This window comes from Homo sapiens, chromosome 3 (assembly GCF_000001405.40).
Source record: "Homo sapiens chromosome 3, GRCh38.p14 Primary Assembly".
NCBI lineage: Eukaryota > Metazoa > Chordata > Mammalia > Primates > Hominidae > Homo > Homo sapiens.
This window is the reverse complement of record NC_000003.12, coordinates 19,368,249-19,392,380: the sequence shown is the minus strand read 5'-3', so window position 1 is coordinate 19,392,380 and position 24,132 is coordinate 19,368,249. Positions and strand designations below refer to the sequence as shown.

Sequence of the window (24,132 nt, the reverse complement as noted above, 5' to 3'; positions counted from 1 at the left end):
CAGAACAAGTATCACTGGTAACAGATTCCTTCCCCTTTTTCTTTTCTTTTTTTTTTTTTTTTGACACAGATGTTGCCCTATACCTTGTATTATTTATGAAGCATTTGTGTTAGATTACATAAGATTGACGAAAAGAGAGCAGGAGTGTAGTGAAAGTATATAAATATTTAAAATTCATCAAACATGCGAATTAGACTTTAAGGCATTTCTTCATCCATGTTAATTCTGGGGAATGAGAATGTTAATGATATAAAAATGTATGTTATATATACCTATAATATAATTGTATATTATATATACATATTTAAAATATTCGCTCAGTACTCAAATAAAAATGGAACATAAAAAAGTATTCGCTTTTAGTAGCAAAGCAGCAAATTAATTTAAAATGGAATTGTATTAAATAATTAATGAACAATTTAAAACAATTTGCCAGGGGAATTTGGAAATTTTTTTAACCTTTTGTGAATTATATACTTATTCTGCAGTCTTGCAAAAACATGGTTTTAAGCCATTATAGTTTCATGATGGTACACTTATCTAGTCAAATTCAATCTTAAAAAGCACTGTAGAAAGCCTAGATAACAATTCAATGTAGCAGTGATTGATATGTACTAGATTTTTCCTGGGAGCTTTCCTTTCAGTTGAGTCATAAACGTTTTAAAGATGTTGGCACTGTCAACCTCCCAACTTAAAAAGAAAAAGAATAAAAAGAAACTATTGTACAGGCAATTAACAAATGCACAAGTCTGCACTAACAAGTCAGGATCACAATTCCATATTCATTCTGAAGTTAATGATAATTGTATTTGAAACTGTGATTATTGTGTTTAATATTTAAAACTATGCCTTTAAATTTTTGAAAGAGAATATGATTTCTATAAAGCACTGTCAATTGACTAGAATATCTGATTAATTTGAACTAATGTTTAATAAAGTTTTACACGCCGTAATTGGTTACTCTAGCAGAAAATTGCATTACTGCTTCACAAATGGCCTCCCTAAAAGTTTCTTTATAAGGGAGCATTTAATACTTTTAAGAATACCAATCATTAAATTATAAAAATGGCTGCTACTACAAGTGATATGCTTTCTGTCCTGGGAGGCTACATGAGGGTAAGGGATTTAGAGCAAGAAAAAGAAGGTACCAAGATTCATGCAAATTCAAGAGAACTCTCAAGTTTTACATTAGTCATATGATTTAGATTTTTGCTACATCCAACAGTTTTACAAGGACTTCTAAGAAGCGGTTGAATTTTCTCATTTAAATTCAATAGTCCTCTCTATCTTGATCAGTCTTCAGTTGGTTTTGCCAATGAATAACAAAATACTAAAGAAATAGAGAGTTAAGGGTCATACAAGCAGAAAAAAAAATCTTCAAACTCTCTAGCAAATTCTTGACACATGTATCTGCCTAGGTAATATAAAGTGATGCTTAAATTCCTACAGATGATTTCCTTATTAAAGAATTTGTTTAGTGGGTCAGTATTTATGATAAATTCAGCATTTCTGTGTTTCCTGGCTCCAGGTATTGAAAAAAGCATGAACAGCTAATATGAATGTCAAAAGGAAGTAACTTCATCAACTGAAGAATCTGGCCTGCATATCACTGGGCATCAGGGCATCTTTATTGAAGAAGGCACAAAACCCTGGAAGCATAAATCGCCACAAGCATTTAAAACCTGAACATGCGATAAATAAATCAACCTTAAAGGCCATGTGGCGGGGAGCTCTTTACTCACCACTGTGACGTTGAAAGCATACAGAAGATCAAAAGGCAGGGCAGCGATTAAATCAATGATGAACCAGGTTGTGACATAGTGGATGCAAATTGATCTTGCTTCAAAGATAACTTGGCCAGACTTGCTGACATAAGTTGTTCGGAAATTTAAAATAATATCTGCTTGGGAAAAAAAAGGTTGAGAAATAAAAGGAAGAGACAGAGAAGAATAAAGAAGGTAGGAAGGACAATGAAAGAAAGAAGAAAGGAAGGGAGACAGGCAGGCAAACAAGCAGGAAGGAAGGGAGGAAGAAAATCGTAGAAAATTAAATAAAATTAGGCAAATGGCAACCACTTAGCCTAGTTCAGATTGATAATATCCAAAATATTCTCCTCTACAGATCCAGTTCAACTAAACAGATACTGAAGAAGGGTGAAAGTAATATTTTCTGAGCACATAATGTTCCAGACATGAAGCTACATGTTAAGATTATTAAAATAAATAATCGTAGCAATAGCAACAATAGTCATCACTTACTAAGTGTTCACTATGTACCCAATATTGTTCTAAGAGCTTGGCATAGGATATTTCACTTAATCCTCAGTACATCTCCTGAAGTAGACAGTGTTACTCTGATTAAAGAGTCAGAAATCAAGTCCCAGGAAGAAAAAGTAATTCATCCAAGATCATATTGCCAAGAGTGGCAGAGTCAAGTTTTAATACAGATACAAGCCGGGCATGGTGGCTCATGCCTGTAATCCCAGCACTTTGGAAGGACGAAGCAAAAGAATTGCCCGAGCTCAGAAGTTCAGGATGAGTCTGGGCAACAAAACGAGAACTCATCTCTATTAAAATTCAAAAAAAATTAGCTGGGCATACTGGCACATGTCTGTAGTCCCAGTTACTCCAGAGACTGAGGTGGAAGAATCACTTGAGCCCAGGAAGTTGAGGCTTCAGTGAGCCATGATTGCACCATGCACTCCAGCCTGGGCAACAGAGTGAGACCCTGTTTCAAAAACAAAAACAAAAAACCCACTAAATATAATCTGAAATCTATATTCCTTATTTTATATAATATTACTTATTTCCATGTATAAAAGTTTTACTAATCTCTGTGTCGATATGGAATTCAGCCCTGCCCTGAAGGCACTCCTATTAACAAAGTACTGGTAGTTTCTTGTGTGAATTTCTGGGTTAAATTCTATTTTAATGAAAGATGTAATTGTTTTCAATCTTTCCCTGCATCATTATTTAGTTATATATTATCGAGCGTTTTACAATATATGAGGTCCTCCTGAGTGCTGATCAAATGACATCCGTGTGAGTTTCCAACAGCCCTATGAGCTTGAAAGAAGACCCTGAGCAGGAGAAAGGAACACAACTCAGCTGATATTTTGATGTCAGCCTTTTGAATTCCTGATCGGAGGATCCAACTAAGCCATCCCTGGACTTTTGACATATAGCAACTGTAAGACAGTAAATGGATGTTGTTTTAAGTTGATAAGTTTGCTATGCAGCAATAAAAACTGAAACAATACTTATTATGTCATTTGATTCTCAGTATAGCCTTGTGAAGTGAAAAGCACAGGAGCTATGACAAGGAAGATTAGTATTATTGTAGATAACACACAGGTTCTTCGTATGAGCCCAGTACAGTTCTAAGTCCTTTATCATCATAATCTCATTGATGCCTTACAACAATGCTAAGAGGTAATCATTTCTATTATCTCCTTTTACAGATGAGGAAATTGAGGCATAAAGGAAGTCAAGTGACTTGCCCTGGGTGATACATCTGATAAAACTGAAGCACAGGATTACATCTTCCACCAAGTTAGTGAAAGAGCAAGACCCAAATTCAAGTCTCCTGAATTCCAGTTCAGGACTTTGGGTTTGGTACCTTCACAGAGACTAGTCTTATCACAGATCTAGAGGCAAGTCCTGGGTGACCCAAAAAGAAAACAATTGTTGTTCTAGTCTATTGTGAATGATATAACTTTTAAAAACTGAATTATTGAAAGTGATATTTTTGTCAAAAAATAAAAATATCTAGGTAATTTTATTGTTAATATTGAGAATATGAGAAAGAATGAAGCTAATTAATAAAGCACTCACATAGGATAAGAACAATCCCAGGTGAATTACACTGCACAGTTAAAATGCTATCGTGGCAAAGATGGACCACGGAAGCATGGCCACCGTGAGGGAGACAGGTCAATGTAATGCCATCAGACTGTAAGAGTAGCATGTGAACATTCATTCTTCCTCTTTATTTTTCTAGGCTCAGGTACTTCCGCATTAGCAATGCAATTTAGTACCTCAGACCACCCACTTTGAAATAAAGCAAAGATTTCAATTTCATGTTTTCTAAAAGGAAGCACAGGTGAATCACTTAAATTCTCATGAGTAAGAAAACCCAGAGTTGTTTACTAAGCTCATTAGTGATGTTTGGTTTCCGCAATATAGGCTAAGGTAAGCCCATAAGTTCTTTATAAAATTAAAGGGGATAAATTCCTTGAATAAGTGACCATGGAATCTACCACAGTTTTCATGGAAAACCCATTACCATCATCCATATACATTCCAGCAGCACTCCCATGAATGGAAGAATGAATGAAGTGAATGACCTATGGTTGACTGATACAGCAACATTTTTAAAGCTGTGTGGTTAGTTACGTGGTTCACTAAAGAACAAAATAGTGGTTCAGACTTCTGAAAAAAAAAAACAACAGGTATTTTCTTGGGTAAGTCATTAGAGAATATTCGTTTAAAGAGCTTTTTAAAAAACAATTTATTATTCAATTGAGTTAAAGGAATGAAAAGAAATATGCTAAATTTAGGTTTAAAAAGAAGTAATTATAAGACTTTTATACACAAAGAGATAATAGTAAAAGAATAAAAGATTTTAAAACATCTATACAAATCTATTTTTGAAATACCTGAAAATTTTTTGGTTTATTTTCAGGGGAAAAACCTAGATATATATTATTTTCTAAGATTTCTAGGTCTATGATACACTTATAAAGTGTATGGTACACTTGCAAAGACTGTATGTTTATCCAATCAATATTATTTATTCAGTAACTGATTTCAAAGCGAACAACTACTTTTGTCGTACTTATAAGAACAGACATAGTTCTGGTATATTTACGAAACACTTTTTCACACTCATTGATTTGAATATTTCCCATGCCATCCTCTCAGGTGGACTACTATCACTTGCATTTTAACAATGACACAGGAGATTTAAGTAAAGTGTTTGAAGTCATACAGACAGTAAGCAACAGAGACAGAGGATGTTTTCTGACATTCAATCCCATTTTCTTTCCATTATCTAAATGATTACTGCACTTCTAAATATATTTTAGAGGAAATAACAATAGGTCAGTGCAAGGAAATGCATTTCTGATTGTAGTCCTTCGATCAAATTCAGCATCAGCAGTACCCAGGTAAAATAATATTAAATTAGGGTCACAGAATTAAATGTGGTGAGATGAACTGTCTTTGATTCTGGAAGTACAAGAGCTAAGCTTTTGTTCAGGGATAACAGAGAAGTTACTCTGTTTTCTATCCAGTGGTGAGGATGTGGTGGTGGTGTTCACGAACCAGGATAACTCAATGTTTATAAATATTTCCTTCCATTTAAGAGAACTGTAGAGATGGCAAGTACAAGTTCTTTGAAAGTGAAGGAAGCACAGCATAAAAAGATTGTGTTGAGGAAGAAAAGAGCTTTCTAGATCTGGTGTCCCTCATGACAGAATCACAGAAACAGAGTGGAACTTCGCAAACACTGAATGTAGCTGCTCCTCCCCCTGTAGCTGTCCCACTCCCTTTAAATTAGATCAGAATTTATTTAAATATTACAATAAGAATATGATCTCCAGACAATCCATAATCCATCTGAAAAGCAGCAGTATAACTTTCATTTTTAGAAGCATGTTTTTCAGCCTTACGTTGAAAAATATATAAAGTATATTCATTAATATCTAGTTTTATATGTAATTTTCTTGTTAATATCATTAATGAGCAATTTGCACAACTGTCCATAAGTACAAAACACACACATATACACACAGTTTAAATTTTTAAGAAATTTCAAAATCCATAACAAATTAACTCAAAAGGATTTTTCACCTAGAAAGCTTAATGTCTCCATGTGCTTATATATGCATAAGCAATCCTTTATGGCACATGGTATTGGTATCATAATGAGTAAATAAGCAGGCTAATACAGAATTACCATACATACTCTATGTGGTTTATAGAATTGCCAAAAAACTAATCATAATATACCCACCCAAAAGAAGCAGAATATAATTGAATTATCTAATGCTTCAGATGACAATTATTTTGCAGAGTAATCAGTTTGCCTTATTGTATTTGAGTTTTACATAGAATGATTAATAAAAGACAAATAATCAAGAGAAAAATGTGTACATATTCTATTTCCAAACTGTTAAGGCAGCCAAAAGTGAGTATTTCACTTATCTCCCACACTAAGTGTCTATTTATGCGGACTAAAAAGCAGAAAGGTTAAATCCATTTTTTCTAGTTTGATTTCCTCAAGAACTATGTAACTAGAAAGCACAAAAAAAGAGGTTAAATTTAATATGGCAAAAATTAGTAGATTTCTTTTCTTTATTAGCATCCATGACAAATGGGAAATAATTTTAAAATCATATTGGCTTACTTGTTAAAAAGTAAATTAAAATACAATAGTGTGCATGAAAGCATATGCACCACATACAAATAATTAATGTCTTCATTTAGCCATTTCTTTAAAAAGTAATCAATGTAGTACAGTGTGGGCGGAGAGATATTTAATTAAACCAGCTGTTGACTAATATTTAAAGATACTCTGTTTTTTTCATTGCTTATGAGGCACTCTTTCAAACACATTATGATACCACAGCAAATTTGAGCTAGAAGGTGTGAGACGAATGAATAGAGAGCTGATCAATGAAGAGAGGCTTGAGGGACTAATAATCCTAAGAATAATTGCAATTGATTGCCAATATTAGTGGATAAGAGTTTCATATCACTTGACCCTTGCTTATCTTGTCAGAATTGTCCCTCTTGCTTACCTGAAGTGAAAGATTAATGGAATAGAAAGAGCAGTAGGCCCAGTGAGAAACAGCATTTAAGAAAAACTGCATTTAGAAGAAAAAATGAAGCTGACAAAGGGCAATCAGGTAGATTGAGGCATAGTTGATGCTGGTATTGGCTTTTGCTTTGTATCTGTAGGGTCAATTATTCATAGTTGCATTAGTTGGCTATGTTCATCATTAGGTAGTTATTTTTTCATGTTTTAGAAAAATTTTCTTTTTTCTATTGATACATGACCAATGTACATCTTTTGGGGGTGCATATAGTTTAATACATTCATATAATTTATAAAGATCAAATCAATGTAAGTGGAGTGTTCATCATTTTCTTACTTTTCTCAAGTCAGAGGAAATGCCTTCTTTCTCATAACTTCCTTTCCTTTATTCTAGTTTTGTTCTCAGCAGCAGCACAGAATACATTGTCCTCTCCCAGCCCAAAGCTCTTTCTATAAATATCTGAGATCAGTCGTCAAGTTCATCTCTCAGTTCTCAGGTTGAATATCTTCATTTCTTTCAACCATCTCTTACTGATATGGTTTCCTCTTCATAGGCCCGATGATACTCTCTAGTTTGGTGGTTTTCACAAAAGCCTCATCGAAGAAAGGAAGGATTTGGGTTCTACCTCCACCCACCCAGCCTTTCCAATTTTCAGGCTGAGCTTTTATTCATTTTACATAGTAAGCCTCCTTATCAATTTTGATTTTGAAAAGGAATTTTCAAGTCTTTAATACAATAAAGAAAATAAAAAGAAAACCGCTCTTGTAAGGTACTTGGAATTAAATTTACCATCCCAGAAGTGGTCTGGCCAGTGTGGGAGACAGGAGCAAATATGCACAATTCCCACCAGCATTGTTTTCAGAGTTCTTGTTACTCCACAGCCTTGCTAACACTTGATGTTATAAAATTTAAAATTTTTTTGCCTATTGGGTGGGATAATAATAATTCTAATGTGTTTAGAATTATTTTAATACTTCTAGTAATGCAGCCTTATTAAATTGTCACAGTTAAAAAAACCCTTTTATTACTAAATACTGAAGTGAACTTTTGCCAACTTAAAGTCCCAAATGTTATTGTTTTTCATACATATTGGTCCTAATAGACTGCTTGGGTTCTTATTGGAAGAGCTAAAGCATAGCTATACCTTTCAGCTTTTCAATATACTTAAGTATCACAAAATACTGCTATTGAGGACTTGTGTTCTTTGCCTTGTGCAGAGCCCCTGGCACTCAAAGATGAACAAGGCATCCAAGAGAAGCATGCCTTTTTCTGGTAACCATGGGATTTCATAATTTTATTAATCTGCAATCATTCCAGCTGTAGATACAAAAATACACACTATCTGTGATCTTGCTTGCAGGTCAGAGGAGACAGTGCACACTACCAGTGGATCTTTAATATTCCCCACTTATTGTCTACAACTAATTATTTGTGTTATATTGGTCTTGTGCATTGCTTTTATTTTATTATATAAGTTTACCATATCAAAAGACTTCCATGTAACATGTCCATTGGCATGTGTACAGACTATCTATTTTGACTCCCTATATTCACTTTTTCAGTGATGTGTGACTCCAAATTAGATATTGAACTTTGGAAAAATTTAATCATTTTTAATAAAAATAATTTAATGATTAAACATAAACATACTGAAAAAACCTTATTTAATCAGTCTTAATTATATAAAGTTTTGACACATTTATTCTGTTTATAGGTGTAGTTATTAGGTGGTAAAGTTTCCAAGTTTAAGTAAAAATAGAAAATATAAGAACTATCTAATCTATAATATTCAATCATGCAATTAAAAAATTCACAATGGGGGTTATTAATTTCATTTGAAGTAAATATTAATTATTCAAGTTACAAAGCTTGGAACTAATGAACACTTGGCTGGGTGCATTGGCTCACACCTGTAATCCCAGCTCTTTAAGAGGCCAAGGCGGGTGGATCACATGAGGGCAGGAGTTTGACACCAGCCTGACCAACATGGTGAAACCCCGTCTCTATTAAAAAATACATAAATCATCAGGATGTAGTGGCGGGCGCCTGTAGTCCCAGCTACTTGGGAGGCTGAGGCAGAAGAATCGCTTGGAGGCGAAGGCTGCAGTGAGCCCTGGGATTGTGCCACTGCACTCCAGCCTGGGAGACAGAGTGAGATTCCAGTCTCAAAAAAAAAAAAATTAACGAACACTGAGATGAGTAATAAAAAAAGTGTTAATATAATTGATGTTTGTCCCAAAATGAAATCCCACATGTATGCTCAATAGAGACAAAAATAAATTTAGGTTAAATAATATCTCTTATAATTACATAGCTCTTTGCATTTTAATTATAACTATTATGTTCATTTTCACATTTGAGGAAAATAATATTCTTAGCATTTGTGGTAGCTTTTTAGTGCTGTTTACCAAATATTATGGCTCCTTATCTCCTGGAAAGATTATATTTCCTTACCATCTGAAGAGATTAAGTGCATCCCTATGATTTGCTTTGGCCAAAATTGTGAGAACAGGGGTAACCTGGAACACTTTTATGCAAAAGTTTTGAGGACCGGGGCATAATTTCTCACATTTTCTTCTCCTTGCCTTGATAATTATGGAAGCATATGACAAGATGTGGATCTTCTGTCAGCCTAGGTGCCTGAGAGGTTCTGCCCTCTGTACAAAGGCTCTGCCCATTGTACATAGCATGAGTGAGACATAAAACTTTACACTATATCCCACTGAGACATTGAGATTGCTTGTTACTGTAGCACACCCTAGCCCATCCTGACTGATAGGTGTTTTTGTAAAGCCATAGAGCAGAGGGGCTAACAGTGTAGAATTTCGAGTCCAACTCCCTAGGTTGTGGATCACTGGGTAGGTGTTGTCATTATTATTATTATTACTATTACTACTGCTGTTACTACTACTCTATAGGCTTCAAAACTGACGAACAGGGTCAATGAATGACTTAATCTAAGACTGCGTCACATATTAATAGTATTATTTTCATTGTTACTTTACAGACCTAATATAGTGGTGTTAAAGTGACAACAAAATAATGATCATCAAAGTAATACAGTTAACGTATTAAATTTTTACTTTGTGAGAGGAATTGTTTAAGTACTTTCTATGTATTAACTATTTTGGTCATCATGTAGTCACTTTAAAGTAAGTAATACGTCTATTTAATGATACATTAAACACTCAGACAATTAACTTGCTGAAGGTTACCCAACTAGGCAGTGGAAGAGCTAAAAGTTACACTTTAAGAGTCTGTCTGTATACGGCCACCAAAACATGATTTACTATAATTCTTACCCTGCTTCCAGCTCAGGAAAGAGGTTCTTTTAGTAATATCTATGAATTGTTTTTTGAAACTTAGTTAATTTTTAGAATCATATAAAGATAATATTTAGCATTTAAACTATAGGTTTCTATGTACTAAATTGCTCAACATTTTTTTAAATGTTGCATTTCAAGAATAGCATATATACTGTAAAATGCATTGATCTTAAGGGGATAAAGAATTTGCCAAAGCTAACCATCTTTGTAGCCAACAATGGATAGAGATATAACTGGAACCAGAACTCCAGAAGCCTCCTTTATGATCCTGTCTAGCCATTAACTTTCAAAATATAACCACTGTCCTGGTTCTCATTGATTAATTTCATTTAAATCAGTATGGTATGTATGTCCATTGATTCTATTAATCCAATTGCTGGAGCAAGTTATGTATATATTCTAGTTTAATAGACACTGGCAAAGAGTTTAATAGAGAGACTATACGAATTCACTTTCTTATATGCAGTGTATGAAATTTCATGTTGCTCTGTATATTCCTCCAATCCTTGGTAATTTCTGATTTTTTTCTCTTTTTTTTCCCTTTTAGCAATTCTCGTGGTAGTGAAGTTATTTTCATTTTCCTTATGATTAATAACATTCAGCACAAACTACTTGCACATTTATATACTGGTTTTTGTGAATATCAATTCAGAACTTTTGTCTAAGGAAAATCTCCCCCACCCGCCAGCATTTTTTCTCATTTGCAGGAATTGTGCTATATTTTCACATAAATTGTGTCATGTTCAGGTAATTTCTGCCTACCCCAAGGTCATTAAGATACTCCACTGTGATGTCTTCTAAAAGCTTTATTTTTTAACTTTTATAATTTGTCTACAATCCAACTACAATTGATTTTGTATATTTTGTGATGCAAGAGTCAAGATTTACATTTTCCAGATGGATATCCAATTGATCCAGCACTATTTTTGAAGACATGATTTCCCCAAAACATTGCAGTGGCACCTTTGACATAAATCAGGTGTTCATGATCATATATGTGCAGATTCATTTATGATCTCTGTATTTTGTTCCAATGGCTTATTTGTCAGATGCTAGTTTTCCCACATTTCCAGCACAGTCAGAAATAGAAGTGTTCACAAACTATTTTTAAGGACTCTTAAGAACACTCAAAACATAACTAATATATTTGACTTTAAACGTAAAATTTAAAGATGATTTAGTTATAAATACGAGGTGTTCTATTAAAAGTGAAATAGAAGAAAATGTTCTATATTTGAAATAACAGAACTATGCTCAATTAAGAGAAAAATAGATTCTCACTTAAGCACATTATGATTTCATAGTTATTTTTATGAATGCCATCAGTAGAAATTGCTCATATTTTTGTGTTTTGCTAGAATTTTATTTCTACTTGTGGTTACAATAATTCAGTCTATTTTTAGTAATTGTGAACAGTAAAATCACAAAAAGATCAATAGTATCAAGCCACACCCACGTGATTTCGGTAATGTATGAGCTCAAGCAATAATGCCAAACTTGGCACTGAGTGCTCTTCACTCTAGCTATGTTATAATCCAGGTCACTGAAACCAAAAGGCAAGTTGGGAAGCAAAATAGGGTTTACGTTTTATTAATTCTCCCCCAGAGTTACTTGAGTAGAGGGTACAGCCTAATGATCAGTCAAGTCAATATCACTAGGTATTTAAGAGCCAAGAATTTCACTGTGGTAGTTTGATCACCAAAGCCAAGAAGAGAAACAACAAGACAAACAGAATTCAAAATCCAAATAGCCACAGGAACTCAATAAGAAATAACAAGAATTGAGTGGGCCAGGAGGAATTAAAGAGCCTGTTAGTGCCGAAGTACACCTGGCCTATAGTCAGAATTAGGGTTGAAAATGTGCCTCAGGAAGTAAGATTCATGGGTTGGAAATATACACTATCAAAAGAGTCACCAATTAGAGCCAGAATCTCCAAAAATGTGAAGTTGCCAGTCATTTTTATTTGTTCATATTTCATGTTTAAAGTTTTGTTTTTAGGTTCTTACATAGTTTATCCTCTTATTCTATATAATTTCAGGAGGGAAGGAAAGACATTGTTCCTGTATCTGTTTAGATAAATAAATTATAGTATCTAGAGTTTCTCAGTGATATTCCAGAGGCAGCAAAATATAACTCTCAAAACTTACCAATGCTGTGTGTCTCTGTACTTATTCTTCACAGGGTATAGGTTGTTGATATAAGGATTAATAAGCAAAACTTTATATAAACACAGCTATTTGTTAGAAATGATCTACTCATATACTCAGGAAAGGTCTTATCCTCAAAATAACCTTTTATTACATAGAGATAGTTTTACTGTTTTTTTGTTTCTCCTAGCAATATGGATGAAACCAAATTTTCTTTATTGGGGTTAGAGTCAGAAAGTGCTACAATACTTAGGTTACTCAGGACTGAACACTGCCACAAACTATAAGCCTAAGCTTTTATTCCAAGGAATTGTTTTCTGAGGCATAGCTCCAAAAATTGAGTAATGCAAATGTGATATTTGGCTGTCACTAGCATGTTGCTTGACTTGGGGTGGTTTTGATGAATTCTGTTACCAAGATAATGTTATTTTCTTTTTTCTTTTTTTTTTGAGACAGAGTGTTGCTCTGTCACCAGGCTGGAGTGCAGTGGCACAATCTCAGCTCACTGCAACCTCCACCTCCCAGGTTCAAGCAGTTCTCCTGCCTCAGCCTCCCAAGCAGCTGGGACTATAGGTGCATGCCACCACGCCTGAGTAATTTTTTGTATTTTAGTAGAGACGGGGTTTCACCATGTTGGCCAGGATGGTCTCGATCTCCTGGCCTCGTGATCTGCCCACCATGGCCTCCCAAAGTGCTGGGATTACAGGCATGAGCCACTGGGCCCGGCCTTCTTATTTAGCATTTGAATGCTTGTCAGTACTAATGCTATGCTAAATACTTATTTAAATACAGGCAAGAATATCTCCCTTGCCATACAAGAGATTCAAACATAACTTCCTCTTAATTTGTTTAAGGATTGCCACTGGTCATGTACTTTGTATATTTAAACTGTAATGAGGCTTTTCATGTGTATGGTCAATTCAGATTTTCAATCTGTTACGAAATAACTTCTCCGTGATTAGTAAAGATTAATTTGTATTATTTTAATAAAGTTGCCCAAGATAGTACCTGATCTGATCAAATACACACTCCAAAGCTGCTTACTATTTTTCTTCTTACTTTTATGTGGTACCTTTAATGAACATGTAAATTACTTGCCCTTGTGTACCTATAGACCTCACTACTTGGGAACAACTGTCTTGGTGTCTGTGATGCATGAGACTTGAAATACATTTAAAACATGCAACAGCTAAACTCTAGGGACTGTGAAGAAATAGCATATATTTATTTGTTTTGCAAGGAGAATTTTTTACGTTGATATTAGGCTCTGAAGTTTGTGAGTAAAGGATAATTCATGTAGAGTCAAAACTGTGCCCCAAAGAACTTGTCACCATAAAGTATATCATCATAACATATCATTTCTCATGAAATCCAATATATCACCTTTTTCTTCAGTGTTAAAATAGATTGTGGTACCTGCAGTTAAATAACAGATGAAGTGATTGACTTATATCCAGTGGTCATATTGTTATGTTCCTTAAAATACTAAAATCACATTCAAATCATAACATTCCCACTCTGTGGGAGAAACAAAGAAACGAAGAACAAATACAGAGCATGGCAGAGGGTGCTCACCTATCTCATATTTTACTTCATATTTTCTTTGAGTCAAAATGATGGGAAAAATTGCTTCTAATACTTAAAACAGTCCCTTGCTTTCCTTGTCTACCTTTCCTTCTATCTAAAAGTCCTGTAATGCAACTCTATTGTACAATGAAAAACACAGTGGCAAAAAATAACTGACCATCAAAATTCACTTCTGCTTTCTCCAGAGCAATAGGATTGTAGCTGGAATGACATTTCCCAGCCATCTTTGCAACTAATTATGGTCACATGACTGAGCTCTTCTAATGAAAGTGATATGTACAAATTTTATGGTTTGCCCATAAAATTGTGCACATTTGCTTTTCCACGCGCTTTTGCTGGCTGGAATGAAGAAAAACAGAGTGACATTACAAGCCACCCATTAAAGATGGTAGAACCACTGTCTGTCTCAGTCCCTAAATGATTATCTAAGAGAACCGCCCCCAACACGCACAACTCCCCTCAACACATATACCTCTCCCTACTAGCCTTCAATAGACTACCCAGAACATTAGGTAAGAAATAAAATAAAGAGAAATAAATTTTCATATCCCATAATGCACTGAATTATTGTTGAGCACTTCTTCAAACAGCGTATTAACACTAACAAACAAAGCAAAAACCACTGCTCTCTTCCTTCCACTAACTTAGCATTTTAATGGCTCTCAGCCTTTTGAGAATAGTCTTTTGATGGTTGGTCTTGAAAATCCAATCAAAATGTGACCTTTTATCATTATGAACAAGGCATTCACACAGTTCTCCACCATCTACCATGGATGGCAGCACTCATAAATAAGTTTTTCTTTTTCAATGCCCAGTCAAATGTTGATCAGCATCATCTCAATATATACCACTCTTGCAGCTCCTCCTGGGCATTGAACCTCTTAGTGTTGTTTGCTAAAACCAAGGCATTAATATGATCCGTTGAGGTCACCTCTGTATACTTGCCAGATTTAGCTAATAAAATATAGGACAGCTGTGGAACTTTGAACTTCAGGAAAAACCAGATGATTCTTTAGCATAAATATATTGGATAAAAAGAAATTGTCCCTACGTCTGATTTAAATGGCTATAACCACCCTTGGACTCTTAATCATCTCAGAATACATCCAGATTACCTGAAATTGACCATGTGTTCTCACCTCTCCAACAAATGTGCACAAATCCACTCAATGCCCTGATCAGGAACCTTAAAAAAGTGTGTGTTAATCACTAGATGGATCCTGATGTGGATCCTGTACAGCAGAAATGTGTTTCAGCAACTAACAGAAAATACCGTCTTTTCATTTGTCTCCTTGCCACTAATATCTTTTATTTTAGTTTTTTGAAAACAATATTTTTGTTGGCTGCTACAGCTGTTAACCTCCCTGCTATTTCTTCCAGGATTCATCATTGCCTAGCATAGCAGATGTATCCAACTTACATTCTAGATTCCCATTGTATTCTAGACATTTGTTCTATTGACAACTTATACACAATAAAGGACATTCTGTCTACCCTCTTCCATGTATGTTTATGGTTGTGCCATCTCATTCTCTGCCTTACCTGTGCACAGCATTGCTGTGTACCCATCGAATGACCTTTTTATGTCTTCATATTTTTTTAAGTCAGTAATTTTGGACATCTCTTTGTTCACTATTGGTCTCCCAAAAAGGGGAATGAGAGTTGCTTCTTGTTTAGTATCCCAAACTTTTGTTCCACTCCAGTGTATTTTGAGTCTCTTCACACTTCCCATTGCACTTTTTGGATTATCCAATGTAAATAAAAATGTTCAAAGCTTCCTCCAAAGAAATAGCACCAAAATTACTGATTTCCATGGAAACCACAATAATAATCAGGCTGTGGGCAATACATTAGTAAATTTAAAATATGTATACAGGGAGAGGAGCCAAGATGGCCGAATAGGAACAGCTCCGGTCTACAGCTCCCAGCGTGAGCGACACAGAAGACGGGTGATTTCTGCATTTCCATCTGAGGTACCGGGTTCATCTCACTTGGGAGTGCCAGACAGTGGGCACAGGTCAGTGGGTGCGCGCACCGTGCATGAGCCGAAGCAGGGAGAGGCATTGCCTCACTCGGGAAGCGCAAGGGGTCAGGGAGTTCCCTTTCCCAGTCAAAGAAAGGGGTGACAGACGCACCTGGAAAATCGGGTCACTCCTACCCGAATACTGCGCTTTTCCGACCGGCTTCAAAAATGGCGCACCACGAGATTATATCCTGCACCTGGCTCAGAGGGTCCTACGCCCACAGAGTCTCGCTGATTGCTAGCACAGCACTCTGAGATCAAACTGCAAGGCGGCAGCGAGGCTGGGGGAGGGGCGCCCGCCATTGCCCAGGCTTGCTTAGGTAAACAAAGCAGCCTGGACGCTCGAACTGGGTGGAGCCCACCACAGCTCAAGGAGGCCTGCCTGCCTCTGTAGGCTCCACCTCTGGGGGCAGGGCACAGACAAACAAAAAGACAGCAGTAACCTCTGCAGACTTAAATGTCCCTGTCTGACAGCTTTGAAGAGAGCAGTGGTTCTCCCAGCACACAGCTGGAGATCTGAGAACGGGCAGACTGCCTCCTCAAGTGGGTCCCTGACCCCCGAGCAGCCTAACTGGGAGGCACCCCCCAGCAAGGGCACACTGACACCTCACACAGTAGGGTACTCCAACAGACCTGCAGCTGAGGGCCCTGTCTGTTAGAAGGAAAACTAACAAACAGAAAGGACATCCACACCAAAAACCCATCTGTACATCACCATCATCAAAGACCAAAAGTAGATAAAACCACAAAGATGGGGAAAAAACAGAACAGAAAAACTGGAAACTCTAAAAACCAGAGTGCCTCTCCTCCTCCAAAGGAACGGAGTTCCTCACCAGCAACGGAACAAAGCTGGATGGAGAATGACTTTGACGAGCTGAGAGAAGAAGGCTTCAGACGATCAAATTACTCTGAGCTACGGGAGGACATTCAAACCAAAGGCAAAGAAGTTGAAAACTTTGAAAAAAATTTAGAAGAATGTATAACTAGAATAACCAATACAGAGAAGTGCTTAAAGGAGCTGATGGAGCTGAAAACCAAGGCTTGAGAACTACGTGAAGAATGCAGAAGCCTCAGGAGCCGATGCAATCAACTGGAAGAAAGGGTATCAGCAATGGAAGATGAAATGAATGAAATGAAGCGAGAAGGGAAGTTTAGAGAAAAAAGAATAAAAACAAATGAGCAAAGCCTCCAAGAAATATGGGACTATGTGAAAAGACCAAATCTACGTCTGATTGGTGTACCTGAAAGTGATGGGGAGAATGGAACCAACCTGGAAAACACCCTGCAGGATATTATCCAGGAGAACTTCCCCAATCTAGCAAGGCAGGCCAACGTTCAGATTCAGGAAATACAGAGAACGCCACAAAGATACTCCTTGAGAAGAGCAACTCCAAGACACATAATTGTCAGATTCACCAAAGTTGAAATGAAGGAAAAAATGTTAAGGGCAGCCAGAGAGAAAGGTCAGGTTACCCTCAAAGGGAAGCCCATCAGACTAACAGCGGATCTCTCGGCAGAAACCCTACAAGCCAGAAGAGAGTGGGGGCCAATATTCAACATTCTTAAGGAAAAGAATTTTCAACCCAGAATTTCATATCCAGCCAAACTAAGCTTCATAAGTGAAGGGAGAAATAAAATACTTTACAGACAAGCAAATGCTCAGAGATTTTGTCACCACCAGGCCTGCCTTACAAGAGCTCCTGAAGGAAGCACTAAACATGGAAAGGAACAACTAGTACCAGCCACTGCAAAATCATGCCAAAATGTAAAGACCATCGAGACTAGGAAGAAACTGCATCAACTAACCAGCAAAAGAACCAGCTGACATCATAATGACAGGATCGAATTCACACATAACAATATTAACCTTAAATGTAAATGGACTAAATGCTCCAATTAAAAGACACAGACTGGCAAACTGGATAAAGAGTCAACACCCATCAGTGTGCTGTATTCAGGAAACCCATCTCACGTGCAGAGACTAGGCTCAAAATAAAATGATGGAGGAAGATCTACCAAGCAAATGGAAAACAAAAAAAGGCAGGGGTTGCAATCCTAGTCTCTGATAAAACAGACTTTAAACCAACAAAGATCAAAAGAGACAAAGAAGGCCATTACATAATGGTAAAGGGATCAATTCAACAAGAAGAGCTAACTATCCTAAATAGATATGCACCCAATACAGGAGTACCCAGATTCATAAAGCCAGTCCTGAGTGACCTACAAAGAGACTTAGACTCCCACACATTAATAATGGGAGACTTTAACACCCCACTGTCAACATTAGACAGATCAACGAGACAGAAAGTCAACAAGGATACCCAGGAATTGAACTCAGCTCTGCACCAAGTGGACCTAATAGACATCTACAGAACTCTCCACCCCAAATCAACAGAATATACATTTTTTTGAGCACCACACCACACCTATTCCAAAATTGACCACGTACTTGGAAGTAAAGCACTCCTCAGCAAATGTAAAAGAACAGAGACTGTAACAAACTATCTCTCAGACCACAGTGCAATCAAACTAGAACTCAGGATTAAGAATCTCACTCAAAACCGCTCAACTACATGGAAACTGAACAACCTGCTCCTGAATGACTAATGGGTACATAACGAAATGAAGGCAGAAATAAAGAAGTTCTTTGAAACCAACGAGAACAAAGACACAACATACCAGAATCTCTGGGACGCATTCAAAGCAGTGTGTAGAGGGAAATTTATAGCACTAAATGCCCACAAGAGAAAGCAGGAAAGATCCAAAATTGACACCCTAACATCACAATTAAAAGAACTAGAAAAGCAAGAGCAAACACATTCAAAAGCTAGCAGAAGGCAAGAAATAACTAAGATCAGAGCAGAACTGAAGGAAATAGAGACACAAAAAACCCTTCAAAAAATTAATGAATCCAGGAGCTGGTTTTTGAAAGGATCAACAAAACTGATAGACCGCTAGCAAGACTAATAAAGAAAAAAAGAGAAGAATCAAATAGACGCAATAAAAAATGATAAACGGGACATAACCACCGATCCCACAAAAATACAAACTACCACCAGAGAATACTACAAACACCTCTACGCAAATAAACTAGAAAATCTAGAAGAAATGGATAAATTCCTTGACACATACACTCTCCCAACACTAAACCAGGAAGAAGCTGAATCTCTGAATAGACCAATAACAGGATCTGAAATTCTGGCAATAATCAATAGCTTACCAACCAAAAAGAGTCCAGGACCAGATGGATTCACAGCCGAATTCTACCAGAGGTACAAGGAGGAGCTGGTACCATTCCTTCTGAAACTATTCCAATCAACAGAAAAGGAGGGAATCCTCCCTAACTCATTTTATGAGGCCAGCATCATTCTGATACCAAAGCCGGGCACAGACACAACCAAAAAAGAGAATTTTAGACCAATATCCTTGATGAACATTGATGCAAAAATCCTCAATAAAATACTGGCAAAACGAATCCAGCAGCACATCAAAAAGCTTATCCACCATGATCAAGTGGGCTTCATCCCTGGGATGCAAGGCTGGTTCAATATACGCAAATCAATAAATGTAATCCAGCATATAAATGAGCCAAAGACAAAAACCACATGGTTCTCTCAATAGATGCAGAAAAAGCCTTTGACAAAATTCAACAACCCTTCATGCTAAAAACTCTCAATAAATTCGGTATTGATGGGACATATTTCAAAATAATAAGAGCTATCTATGACAAACCCACAGCCAATATCATACTGAATGGGCAAAAACTGGAAGCATTCCCTTTGAAAACGGGCAGAAGGCAGGGATGCCCTCTCTCACCACTCCTATTCAACATAGTGTTGGAAGTTCTGGCCAGGGCAATTAGGCAGGAGAAGGAAATAAACGGTATTCAATCAGGAAAAGAGGAAGTCAAATTGTCCTTGTTTGCAGACGACATGATTGTATTCTAGAAAACCCCATTGTCTCAGCCCAAAATCTCCTTAAGCTGATAAGCAACTTCAGCAAAGTCTCAGGATACAAAATCAATGTACAAAAATCACAAGCATTCTTATACACCAACAACAGACAAACAGAGAGCCAAATCATGAGTGAACTCCCATTCACAATTGCTTCAAAGAGAATAAAATACCTAGGAATCCAACTTACAAGGGATGTGAAGGACCTCTTCAAGGAGAACTACAAACCAGTGCTCAAGGAAATAAAAGAGGATACAAACAAATGGAAGAACATTCCATGCTCATGGGTAGGAAGAATCAATATCGTGAAAATGGCCATACTGCCCAAGGTAATTTATAGATTCAGTGCCATCCACATCAAGCTACCAATGACTTTCTTCACAGAATTGGAAAAAACTACTTTAAAGTTCATATGGAACCAAAAAAGAGCCCGCATCGCCAAGTCAATCCTCAGCCAAAAGAACAAACCTGGAGGCATCACACTATCTGACTTCAAACTATACTACAAGGCTACAGTAACCAAAACAGCATGGTACTGGTACCAAAACAGAGATATAGATCAATGGAACAGAACAGAGCCCTCAGAAATAACGCCACATATCTACAACTATCTGATCTTTGACAAACCTGAGAAAAACAAGCAATGGGGAAAGGATTCCCTATTTAATAAATGGTGCTGGGAAAACTGGCTAGCCATATGTAGAAAGCTGAAACTGGATCCCTTCCTTACATCTTATACAAAAATCAATTCAACATGGATTAAAGACTTTAAACGTTAGACCTAAAACCATAAAAACCCTAGAAGAAAACCTAGGCATTACCATTCAGGACATAGGCATGGGCAAGGACTTCATGTCTACAACACCAAAAGCAATGGCAACAAAAGCCAAAATTGACAAATGGGATCTAATTAAACTAAAGAGCTTCTGCACAGCAAAAGAAACTACCATCAGAGTGAACAGGCAACCTACAGAATGGGAGAAAATTTTCACAACCTACTCATCTGACAAAGGGCTAATATCCAGAATCTACAATGAACTCAAACAAATTTACAAGAAAAAAACAAACAACCCCATCAAAAAGTGGGCGAAGGACATGAACAGACACTTCTCAAAAGAAGACATTTATGCAGCCAAAAAACACATGAAAAAATGCTTATCATCACTGGCCATCAGAGAAATGCAAGTCAAAACCACAATGAGATACCATCTCACACCAGTTAGAATGGCAATCATTAAAAAGTCAGGAAACAACAGGTGCTGGAGAGGATGTGGAGAAATAGGAACACTTTTACACTGTTGGTGGGACTGTAAACTAGTTCAACCATTGTGGAAGTCAGTGTGGCGATTCCTCAGGGATCTAGAACTAGAAATACCATTTGACCCAGCCATCCCATTACTGGGTATATACCCAAAGGATTATAAATCATGCTGCTATAAAGACACATGCACACGTATGTTTATTGCGGCATTATTCACAATTGCAAAGACTTGGAACCAACCCAAATGTCCAACAGTAATAGACTGGATTAAGAAAATGTGGCACATATACACCATGGAATACTATGCAGCCATAAAAAATGATGAGTTCATGTCCTTTGTAGGGACATGGATGAAATTGGAAATCATCATTCTCAGTAAACTATCTCAAGAAGAAAAAACCAAACACCGCATATTCTCACTCATAGGTGGGAATTGAACAATGAGATCACATGGACACAGGAAGGGGAATATCACACTCTGGGGACTGTTGTTGGGTGGGGGGAGGTGGGAGGGATAGCATTGGGAGATATACCTAATGCTAGATGATGAGTTAGTGGGTGCAGTGCACCAGCATGGCACATGTATACATATGTAAATAACCTGCACAATGTGCATATGTACCCTAAAACTTAAAGTATAATTAAAAATAAAATAAAATATGTATACAGTCTTTGTATTTTATTCTTTAAAATTATCTTAGCTTAGTAATAATATATGATAAAATGTCATGAGATGAATATTGGCTTTAAAATAAAATATAAAATAAAACATTTACAAAATAAAATGTGTCCTAATGCAGCTCTCTCACTCAGTAGCAGTGTGTCCTATGGAAAGTTAATTACCTTTCTTAAGTTCCAATTTTCACTTAATTAAAACGAAACTAATAATGGTTACCCTTCAACTATTTACTCAACCAGTATTTATGAAGCACCTGATATGTACATGTTTAGCTGAATTCTGAGAGTACAAAAACTGTTTCTGTATTAAAAGAAATTGTAGTTTAGTAGAGGATACACACAAGCAAATAGGTAATTATAAAGTCATGAGATGAATGTTATGGGAATGCCAAGAAAAAACAGCTAACACAGACTTGGGAGGTGAAGCTTGAGGCAGGCAGGCGAGAGATAACAAGCGAACTATATCCTAAAGGATTAATAACAGTTATCAAGGCAAAGAGGAAGAAGGTGGAGGCAGCAAGTCTGCATTTATTTAAAGTTAAAGAGTAGCAAGTGATGGAAGGGATTTAAGCAGAGACATGACATGATCAGGCATACACTTTATTAAAACAGCAACAAAAACCTATTTATAGCATAGTAAATAAATCCCAAGACTAGGTAGAGAAGGAAGTTAGTCAAGGATTGTAGTAGTCTAGACAGAGCTGATGGTGACCAAAACTAAAGAAGCAGCGTCAAGAATAATAAGGGAGAGTGCAAAAATAGGTGGTTAGGAGGTGGAGCATACAGGGTTTCGAGTTTGATTTTATCAAGGGATGGAGGAAGAGACAGAAATCTGTAAAGGGCCCTAAACTTATGACTTACTAGATCATTCACAAATATGGGAAAATCCAGGAAGGAAACAGGTTGTGGTTTAGTGGGAAAAAATGATGAGTTCAATTTCCAACCTGTGGTATTTTAAGTAGCTATGTTTCATTGGAATGATATCCTATAGATAGCTGAATTCACTTGCATAAATTTAGTGAATGAATCAGGCTCAAGATACTGTTTTGGGGGCCACCAACATTGAAATGCTAGGTGGCGAAACAATCTCCCATGATGAGTGTGTGATACAGCGGAGAGAAAGGAGAGAATCAAGGTTAATATTTAGGGGAGGAGTATCATTTAGGATACAGGAAAAGGGACAGGAGCTCATGAAAGAGACTGAGTAGAAACATCCAGCAAGGAGAAGGAAAATCAAGAGAACACAGTAGTAGACAGTGGAAGCCAAGGAAGAGAGGAGGGGTCACCAGTATCAAATATGGAAAGAGGTCTAGTCAGATAAAGACTAACAAGCACTCTTTGACAAACAAGAGGCTACAGTCTACAAGTGACTGAACACTCTTCTGTATCCTTGTTACAACCATTAAGGGAAATAATAAATATAAAAATACTGTTACCTCCACTGTTCAAAATATGTTTATACCTAATTTCCAAACATATTTCCTTTAAAAAACAAAGTGATTTAAACTCTTTGAGCTTTAGTTTCTGTATCCATAAACTAAGACGAATATTATCATGCAATTTGGCTCTTAATTATACTATAGTAGGAAAGGTCAGTCTTACAAATATTAAGAGATAGAAAAACCAGAAGGGAGTCTTTTCAGAGTTTTTATATGTTTCAAATGAGAAAATATAAGTAACTAAACTTTAAATATTTTGAATTTTTGTGGCTATAAAGTAAAATAAATTTTTAAAATTAGACAGCATCTCACATTTTTCTTGACGAGACCATCTGTTTTATCTAGGCCAATATATGATCAGCCCAAGGGAATCAGGGTCTTATTTACTATTGCAGTCAATTCCAAGACACAATAACTTTCAAATACGCAGCATAAATTTACTGACCAGCTATTATATTGCAGATACTAGGTATCTAGCACGTTTATGCTCAGTCATGCTTCTAAGTATATAATCTTTATTCAATGGCCTTATTTGAGGACGGTCTCTTGAAACATTCCACTCCAGCCATGAATTTCCTTTAGTCTGTAGTAAGGCTAGTCTTAGGTATAATTATGAATGGGTAAATAATCAAAACTACAGCTGCTTTCTTGTTGCCACCTTGGTAAGCTCCTCCTCATTCCAGGTGCTCAGCACTCATGGTCTCTCATCACACTTTCTTACCCATTTCTCTTCTCTGATCATACCTTCAAATTCAGTGACTAGTATGGACCAGCCCTACATCAATTTCAAAATACACCACAGATATCTTTCCTACACTTATGGAATTATACTACACAACTTGAACAAAGTTTCCACTCTTCTTTTACTATTCACTGAGAGTTTTCCATGCTTAGACAA

General features: G+C 36.5%; 1 protein-coding gene and 1 long non-coding RNA gene across 7 annotated transcripts in view; one reads left to right on the top strand and one right to left on the bottom strand.

The window, feature by feature from the left end:
* Positions 1 to 3,258, top strand: part of LOC105376982 (uncharacterized) — a 97,844-nt gene extending 94,586 nt beyond the window's left edge. Inside the window, exon 3 of the long non-coding RNA XR_940640.3 lies at positions 1,529 to 3,258. This is a non-coding gene — a long non-coding RNA (uncharacterized LOC105376982). The remainder of the gene's footprint in view (positions 1 to 1,528) is intronic.
* Positions 1 to 24,132, bottom strand: part of KCNH8 (potassium voltage-gated channel subfamily H member 8) — a 387,133-nt gene that overhangs the window by 143,262 nt on the left and 219,739 nt on the right. For 5 of the 6 annotated variants that reach the window (XM_017005698.3, NM_144633.3, XM_017005699.2 and 2 more), the window contains one exon: positions 1,743 to 1,900. The exons of the other annotated variant lie outside the window; for it this stretch is intronic. In XM_017005698.3, coding sequence (XP_016861187.1) covers positions 1,743 to 1,900 — 158 coding nt within the window. The remainder of the gene's footprint in view (positions 1 to 1,742; positions 1,901 to 24,132) is intronic. 6 annotated transcript variants of the gene reach the window in all.